Here is a 9,516-nt window from a genome sequence, read left to right as displayed (position 1 = left end):
AGGGTTTCACCATGTTGGCCAGGATGGTCTCGATCTCTTGACCTTGTGATTTGCCCGCCTCGGCCTCCCAAAGTGCTGGGATTACAGGTGTGAGCCACCCCGCCTGGCCTCTCCTTACATTTTTAACACGTCTACTATAACATTTAAAATTATTTATGTGGCTCACATTGCATTTTTATTGGCTGCTTTGGGCTAGAACATATGGTGTTTCCTAATGTAAAGGATCATGCAACCCTGTCCTTCATATAGCATCCTGGGGGACCAGTGTTTGGCAGAACATGGGGTGGAAACATTGCTTTAGGTAAGAGCTGTCTCTTTATGGACCTCCAGATAAACACTGGGTTTTCTCCCCTCCACCCTTGTCCTGGTCCCTTCGTGCTAGGCATTCCCACCTCCCTTGAAGGTCTCAGACCAGCCCAGCCTCCAACACAGCTCAGAGCCCTTTAGGATCAAGAGCATTCTTTATCCCCCGACGCCCCACCCACCCAGCTCCCAGTGAATCCCTCCTTCTTGAAAGTCTTCCCACACTCACTCTTTCAGTAATTAATGTGATAAATCAATAATTCACTCCCCAACAACCTTAATTCTGTTTTCTTATGTTGTTAAAAATAGCAGTGACCTGGCCCTTTTGTTGTTTCTTTAGGAGGTTGCTCTAAGCCTCTCATTGTGCAGGGGAGGCTGAGAGGGGAGGTGCTTGCTCAGACTTGTGTCTGAAGTTGGCAGGAAGGCCAGACCCTGGTGGGGAAATCAGGACGCCTGGTCGTGCCTCACTTCTCCCAACTCTCAGTTCATTCCATGCGTGGGGCTAGAGAGCCCCAGTTTTTCATTATGGTCCAACACCCTGGGGCAGAAACTGTTGGTTACCAACACCAAAGCCCCGGTCAACACCTTTCTCCAGCTGCAAAGATGGGGTGAGCCAGATACGTGCATTCTCAGGCTTCCTCGCAGCCAGGGTGCCTAGTGACCCTGTTCTGGTCAATAACTCAAGGGGGAGTCAGCAGTGGCTTTCAGGGAAGAACTTTCTTCCTGTATAAAGGAAAGGAAGCCATGTGGGGGCTCATGCAAATAGGTCCTTTTTTGCTATCCCAGCCCTGCTCCACTTCCTGCCATTGAAAATAGTTGAGGTGGCTGGTGGTGCAGTAGCCACCTTGGGACCATGAGGTGATAATCCAGGGGAGAATAGTTGAGAACAGCAGAGCAGAAAGACAGAAAGGACCTGGGTAAGGATGGCACGATTTTGGTGCCAAGCCAACCCCAGAAGCACCTATTTACTGGCTTTTAAAATTCCGATATGACGCTTATGTTTTATCATCTAAGCCATCCTTCATCCTTGCACCGGAATGCCTACTAACTGATAGACACTCCACATTATTGCAGAGAGAAAGAACTCATGCAACAGCCAAAACGTGTAGTATAAATTCATGTTACCACTAAGCCGGAGAGTGACGGTCTCACTGTCCCAAAGCATTGATCGGTCTGACCTAAAAGGTCACAGCAGTTACAGCTTCTTGAGGCCAAGCCCGGGGGCGGTTCACGAGCAGTACCTCACTTAAACATCTCCATGGCTCTGTGAGCCAGCGTCTGTTCCTTCCTCTACTGTGCAGAGGAGAAAACCAAGGCATGGAGAGGGAGAGTAACATGTCCAAGGTCACACGGCTCTGTCATCTCTGAGCTGGAGGAGCCTAAATCTGAGCCCAGACCCTTAACAACTAACCTCTCAGTGCTTCCTGCATGTCTTTCCTTGGAGACAAGGCTGCTGTATACTCCCAGGATACCTGCTCTCCAAGAAATCCCAGCACAACTGTAAAAAATAGGAAAAGAAAAAAGAGGAAACCTCTTTTTCAAGCAACACGGCGGTTCCATTTTTCAAACAAGACACCCGTTCCCCACTCCCAGGCAGGCCGCCTACCATTTATCTGGGGCTGCATCAAAGATGTCCAGTGTTGTAAGTTTTTATTTGCTTCAGGTGGGCAGTTTCTAAATGGACAAATCACGTTTTTGATCGGAAAGTAACACATGAAAGACATAAAAAAGGAAAAAAATGTTCAGTAGGTTTATAGGCTTTCCCTTATGCCAAAAAACAAAGGAGGCAGGACAAGCTGACTAACCTCCAAACATGACAAGTGCTCATCAGAGAAGCTGGGGAGGGTTCCTGAAAAGGAACTTAGTTCTGCTCAAATTTAGCTTGAATGAAATACTGAGTCATTTTCTTGTCTGGGATAAATGTGGGGGAATAAGTCAGTCTTCTGGAGAGACAAGAGATGAATTTGCTCTTCCAGAAATATAACCCAGTCTTGTAAGTATCTTCCACAGTGTGGGTCTCTGTAACAGAACAGAGACATGAAATGGGATCTTTTCAACCATTGTTTCAGCATTTTTTCTCTTATTGGTACAATCAGAGTTCCCAAGAACTACCTCCCCAAATTGTTATTGGTTTTAAATGGAAACACTGATGAATTTAACACTCAAAGAACAAAAGAGTGACCATATATATTTTTTAAGTTTGATTTTTTGGCCTGGCACGGTGGCTCACACCTGTAATCTCAGCACTTTGGGAGGCTGAGGCAGGAGGATCACGCGGTCAGGAGTATGAGACCAGCCAGACCAACATGGTGAAACCCCATCTCTACTAAAAATAAAAAAATTAGCCAGGTGTGGTGGTGTGCGCCTGTAATCCCAGCTACTCGGGAGGCTGAGGCAGGAGAATCACTTGAACCTGGGAGGTGGAGGTTGCAGTGAGCCAAGATCGCACCACTGCACTCCAGCACTCCAGAGCGAGACTCTGTCTCAGGAAAAAAAAAAAAAAGTTTGATTTTTTAAGTTGTACAAGGAATGTAACTTGATTCTGAAATTTAATGGTGGTAATGACAGTAACATTGAGCATTTTAAGTGCTTTGCTGTATGCCAAGAATTTTGAAAAGTGACGTGGGCATTAGCTTACTACGTCCTTGTAAGAATTTTATAAGTTGGTTCCAGTATTATCCCTATTTTACAGATGAAAAAACTAAAGTGTAGGTGCCTTGTTTGAGATCACACAGCCAGCATTGGAAGAATTCGCATTTAATCTTAGGTCTGTCTGATTCCAGAGCTGTGTTCTTTAGACACCCATCTATTTTGAAATGAAGTGTCTTACTTCAGGTCCCCACAAGAGCGGACCCTGAGACAAGGATTTTGATGTAAGGGCTTCATCCGGAAGGGCCCCACAGGAAGTGCTGATAGGAAGCTGGGAACGAGAAGCAGGAAAGGGCCAAAAGCCAGTGCTGGGCATGTCCGTGAGCAGGTTATTATGGGCAACTGGGGCTCAAACCTGCTGGGGGCCGCTGGGGGGATGGCGTAGAAAGTTTTCCACCTGGGGGCTGAGGAAGCTGCGTGGTCGTGGTACTCTCCCACCCCTCCCTCTATTCTTCCTCGGTTGCAGGCTGTCCTGGAGCCCTGACCAGCCCAACAGTCCCCACCTGCCCCTGCGTGCCCTCCCATGCACCTTTGCCAGCAGTTCTGGCAGAGGATTGCATGTGCTCGTGGTAGAGAACTGTCAGCGTGCACAGGACGAGGTGTTCTGAGGAAACACAAGCCAGCGGTATCAGCTGTGTGATGCTACAACAGAAACTGCAGTCCAATTTACCTAGTACGAGGACTCACAATGCAACATTTTGACTTATTTTTGCAGAATTATAAGTACCGAAATAATAACAATTCACTATCACCAGAGTGTGTGTAACTTGGGGATGGCTCAATTTTAGAATGCTTATTTACATAATTGATGGATAATCAGATTACCTCAAGAGATGTTCACATAAACACTCATTCCTGTTAAAACTGGTAAAGAAGAATCCTCAGCAGCAGGAACGAGAAGTCTGTCTTCCAAATCAGGAGTTGTGTTCAGCTGAGCACCGCAGTAGTCACAAAATCAAATCACTTTAGACATCACACACATTCCCATTATTATTTAATATTGCACCTGCCCAAAATAAATGATGAATTTTGAAAATTTATAATGAAAAATGAATTTAGGCCAGACACAGTGGCTCACTCCTGTAATCCCAGCACTTTGGGAGGCTGAGGAGGGCAGATTACATGAGGTCAGGAGTTGAAGACCAGCCTGGCCAATATGGTGAAACTCTGTCTCTACTAAAAATACAAAAATTAGCCAGGCGTGGTGGCCCATGCCTGTAATCCCAGCTACTGAAGAGGCTGAGGTAGGAGAATCGCTTGAGCTCAGGAGGCGGAGGTTGCAGTGATCTGAGATGGTGCCACTGCACTCCAACCTGGGCAACAGAGAGAGACTCCATCTGAAAAAAAAAAAAAAGAAAAAAAAATTTAAATGAAGTTGAGACTCTCATAAACTTAGATCAATCCAAAGAAATCAACTAAGTTACCTTATTCTAATTGTTCTGAGTTCAGAACAAACTAAATATACCCTGAAATAATATTGGTACATACCACCAATAGTTTATAAAAACATACATTAAAATATATTTAAAAGTTTTGTTCAGAATCACAACACAAAATGAGAAGTAGTCAAGAATATAAACTTAACGAGAAATGTAAGTAGTTACATGAAGTACACTATACAATTATGGACAATAAAAATAATAATTGATTAATCTGCTTATGGTCATATTTTCAAAAATTAATGTATTTGTTAAATGTTGTCTTAAAACCAACCCCCACAGATATTAGATTAGACCTCATGAAATTTCCATTTTTGTAGGTCAAAGATTAGGATAAACATTGGTGATATCACATGGCTCCACTTAATATTCTTGAAATTTATTCTTCCAAATGAAATGCATATATTCTAAATAGGTAACAAATATACTTGATTTAGATATTCTAAAGAGATAATAGATATAAATAGTATATATAGAAAATACAGTCTAAATAGATAATAGAATATTATACTGTGAAAGAATATTCTGAAGAAGAATACTAAAGAAGAGGGGTTTGCTTCCCTAGGTGTTTTATTAAATTCTTTCATATAATAGGGTCCTTATCAGGTTTTCATGTCTAACAGTCCTGCCTTTTCCTGGATATGATAGGACAAAGAAAGCAGGACATGATTTTGAGGAAGAATTTTTTTTGTTTTTTTCTGAATAGCATTGTGAGGATTGGTTTGCTGTGTGTAAGAAAATCAATGTAGTAACCCATATCACATTATAGATTAAAATAATTTCTTCATTCATTAAGAATTAATTTGTACAATGAACAGAAAATGTATTAGAAAAGTGTCTGCTTGGCTGGGCGCGGTGGCTCATGCCTGTAGTCTCAGCACTTTGGGAGGCCAAGGTGGACGGATCACGAGGTCAGGAGTTTGAAACCAGCCTGGCCAACATGGTGAAACCCCATCTCTACTAAAAATACAAAAATTAGCCGGGCGTGGTCGTGGGTGCCTGTAATCCCAGCTGGTTGGGAGGCTGTGGCAGGAGAATTGCTTGAACCCAGGAGGCGGAGGTTGCAGTGAGCTGAGATCGTGCCATTGCACTCCATCTTGGGCAGCAGAGCAAGATTCCGTCTGAAAAAAAAAAAAAAGTGTGTGCTTTATGCTTGAGATCTGGTTGGAAGAAACAGGCATGTATGCACACGCAGAGACATATACACACACGTACACACACAGACAACACAGGCACACTCATACACTTGCTCATGCAGACGCAGGCACACACCACAGAGGAAAGAAAGGCAGGTTTGACAAGGTAAACATTTTAAACCTCAACCCAAAAGAATGGCCAGTTAATAGAACAGGGAAAACAAATATGACAAAGATCTCTTTCACGGATTCTTATCAGTTTATATAAATTGTTTACAATAGATGACTGGATGGAGGGTAGGTACAGAATATATATAAGTCCCAAAGTAGAATTTGGAGGCGGCTTTTCTTTGATCGCTGGGTAGATTGAATAAATTAAAACAATAAAACCAATTAAACAAAAAATTTACTAAGATGAACAATTTCACATGTATAAAACCAGTGAAAATTTAACAAAAATATATGAGTATCTGTATATTTATGCATATATACAAACCTGTATATATGTATATATGTGTATATATCTGTATGGGTGTATATTTGTACATATATGCTGATATATACATATAACATATATATTACACATGCCAATATGCTAATATACATGCTAATATATATACATGCTAATATATGTACACTGATATATAGACATACCATACACACACACACACACACACACACACACACATATCTCATACATACATACATATATCTCACTGGCATATAAATCAGTAACTGCAATGGCAATATTTTGTTTTAAACATGCTCAGTTTTTTTAAGTAATAAAATAGTTTCAGGTGAAATACATACAACTTGAAAACATTCTTGTTCTGCCATCTTTTGTCCAGAGTGAGCCAGGCCTGAGCTCATTGGATAGGGCATTCCTCTGGCCTTCCAATTGGCAGAGAGGTTGGCACATGCTCTACATTCGTCCAATCAGAACTCAGCACAAGGCTTTTTTTGGTGGTGTGTGAAGCGGGTTGCTTCTTCTCTCTGGGGATGAGCAGAGGAGCTTGGAGTCCCGTAGATTGTTGGCAGCCACCGGTGGCTTTGAAGAAAGCCAGGTTTGGGACAGAGCTGACACCATGAAAAGCCAAAGAGAGAGATACGCTATAGCTAACTGGTCTCTCTCATTTACAAAATGTGCGCTCTCCTCTTCCAACCTCCTGTTCAGATTCGATGTGTTTCAGATATCTCCTCCCATCGGTGGTTTACTGTTTTACTTTTAAAAATTGTATATTTGGATGAACAAAACTTTTAAATTCCGATGAAGCCCAACTTATCAATTGTTTCCTTTTTGGTTAGTGCTTTTTGTGTCCGGTTTAAGAAATCTTTGCTTATCCATTGATTTTTAAAGCAATGGTCTTTAAATGCTCCCACATTTTATTTGAGGGGTGTGAGTTCACTTCGCATTCATGGCAAACAGAATAGCTGGCTTATTCCCTGACACCCTCACTTATTCATGGATTTCAGCATTTTAACTTCCTCAGAGGGACACCTGTCTCTTGTGGGGCTTTGGGAGAGAGGTGTAGGTTTATGGACTTTGGATGACTGGGCGAGATTCCCACCTCCTCTGGAAAGTGGATTCATTCAGATGGAAATACTTTGAAGGAAGATTTGCTTCGGTTTCAGATATAAAAGTGGAGAGTAGTTAGGTTTCACCAGAAAAGTGTGTCTTTGAGCTACTGGAGTTTTCAGACACTGTGTCTCTGTTTATAAAATAAACAGTGAAAAGAGGACAGGAGAGAATGAATTTTAATGAGATTGTTGGCTGGGAGGGGCACCCAGTGTTCATTGTATCTCATTGCCCTGTGGAAAAAAAAAAAAGGAAACCTAAAGCCACCATCATATAAAAAACAGTGGCAATTTTCAGATCCCAAGATGACTTCACAACAGCTTCTTCAAAGAGAAGAAAAGTTTGCTGCATAAGAATCCAAATTTCTTTAACCATGTAACTAAAGAGAGCTAAAACATATAAAGCAGTTCCCTTTGACAGCGGAAATATCTACCTTTCCTGACTGTGCCTTCATCCTTTAAAAGAGAAACAAGAAAACATGGAAAGAAACTTTGTAGAAACCCTAGATGCAATTTGTTTTCTTGCTTTCCTCTCCCTCGACTTATTTTTGTGTCTTTTTTCTTTCCCCACACGTTCCATTCTCACTTGGTTACCTCCTTGTGTCAGAGGCATGTGAACCAGAGCAACTCCATCTTAAACAGGGGCTGTTTAAGATGGAGTAAAATAAGGCTAAAACCTGCTGGGCTTCATTCCCAGATGGTTAAGGCCTTCTAACTTATAGGAGGTCGGCACAAGATACAGGTTGCTCCTGGCCGATAAAACAGGTTGCAGTAAAGAAGCCAGCCCAAACCCATCAAAACTAAGATGGCCACGAAAGTGACCTCTGATCATCTTCACCGTGACAACTTACAAATGTCCTGGCAACGTCAAGAAGTTATCCTACATGGTCTAAAAAGTGGAGGCATGAATAATCCATCCCTTCTTTAACATATCATCAAGAAAAAAACCATAAAAATGGGCAACCAGCAGCCCCAAGGGTTTATTGGAGTCTAGGCAGTAGCCATTCTTTTATTCCTTCACTTCTTTTATTTATTTGTTTTTTTTGAGACGGAGTCTTGCTCTGTCACCAGGCTGGAGTGCAGTGGCGTGATCTCGGCTCACTGCAACCTCCGCCTCCTGGGTTCAAGCTATTCCCCTGCCTCAGCCTCCCGAGTAGTTGGGACTACAGGCGTGTGCCACCATGCCCGGCTAATTGTTTTTGTATTTTTAGTAGAGACGGGGTTTCACCCTGTTGGCCAGGATGATCTTGATCTCCTGACCTCGTGATCTGCCCGCCTCGGCCTGCCAAAGTGCTGGGATTACAGGCATGAGCCACTGCGCCTGGCCATTCCTTTACTTCTTAACAAAACTTGCTCTCACTTTATGGACTCACCCTGAATTCTTTCTTGAGTGAGATCCAGGAACCCTCTCTTGGGGTGTGGATTGAGACCCCTTTCCTGTAACACCTGGGCGCCTGGCTCTCAGTCTCTTCATCTTTAAGATGGGATAATAGCAACACTTACCTCCCAGGGTTGTGGAAGAATCTGATGAGTGGGCACAGGAAGGGCTCAGAACAGTCTGGAAGGTAAACCAGAAATAAAATTCTAGCTCCCCACAGCCATCGGAATGGACCCCTACCCCTCCTCTTGACAAGGGCATTGGAACCTATTCCAATTATACATTATGTTGATTATTTATTTATTTATTCATTTTGAGAGGGAGTCTTGCTCTCGCACTCAGGCTAGAGTGCAGAGGTGCGATCGTGGCTCACTGCAACCTCTGCTTCCTGGGTTCGAGTGATTCTCCTGCCTCAGCCTCCTGAGTAGCTGAGATTACAGGCACCGGGCACCATGCCTGGCTAATTTTTGTATTTTAGTAGAGACGGGGTTTCACCATGTTGGCCAGGCTGGTCTCGAACTCCTGACCTCAAATGATCCACCTGCCTTGGCCTCCCAAAGTGCTGGGATTACAGACATGAGCCACTGCACCTAGCCTGTTGATCTGATTTTTTATGAACAAGTTAATCCTTTGCCTTGGAGTTTTCTGGTTACCCATGGGGCTGACATTTGACCTGTGTGGCCAAGAGCCTTGGCCCCTTAAGGTTTGCTGAAAAATCACTGACATGAGGCAGATTGATTAGTAGGAGAAAAGGCATGCAATTATGTAATTATTTAATGTGTATATACACAGGAGGCTTCAAAATGAAGACCCAACTCCCCAGCAAGGTATAGATGCTTATCTATCATCTTGGGGTTATAGGAAGAATGAGGGCTGAGAGCATGGCCCAAACCGGGTTATGGTGGAGAACCAGGTTTCAGTGGCAAGACAGGTTATGAGAGGGAGAAAAGAAGAGGCTTGGCTGCAAAGGGGGACGTGTTATGTAGGTGAAGCCTCTTAGGCAGCAGCCTTTAGAGAGAATAGATGATAAATGTCT

The 9,516-nt window shown here is 43.0% G+C and overlaps 1 long non-coding RNA gene across 1 annotated transcript; it reads right to left on the bottom strand.

Moving 5' to 3' along the window:
* Positions 1–1,714: 1,714 nt before the first annotated feature.
* LOC105371394 (uncharacterized) lies at positions 1,715–3,852 on the bottom strand. Its single transcript, XR_007065169.1, has 4 exons — positions 3,778–3,852; positions 2,109–2,322; positions 1,910–1,977; positions 1,715–1,801 (listed from the first exon to the last, which is right to left on the bottom strand). It is a non-coding gene; the product is annotated as an uncharacterized LOC105371394 (long non-coding RNA).
* Between the last annotated feature and the right edge of the window lie 5,664 nt (positions 3,853–9,516).

Source organism: Homo sapiens, chromosome 16 (genome assembly GCF_000001405.40).
Source record: "Homo sapiens chromosome 16, GRCh38.p14 Primary Assembly".
NCBI classification, from domain to species: Eukaryota; Metazoa; Chordata; class Mammalia; order Primates; family Hominidae; genus Homo; species Homo sapiens.
This window is presented reverse-complemented; position numbering and strand designations above follow the sequence as displayed.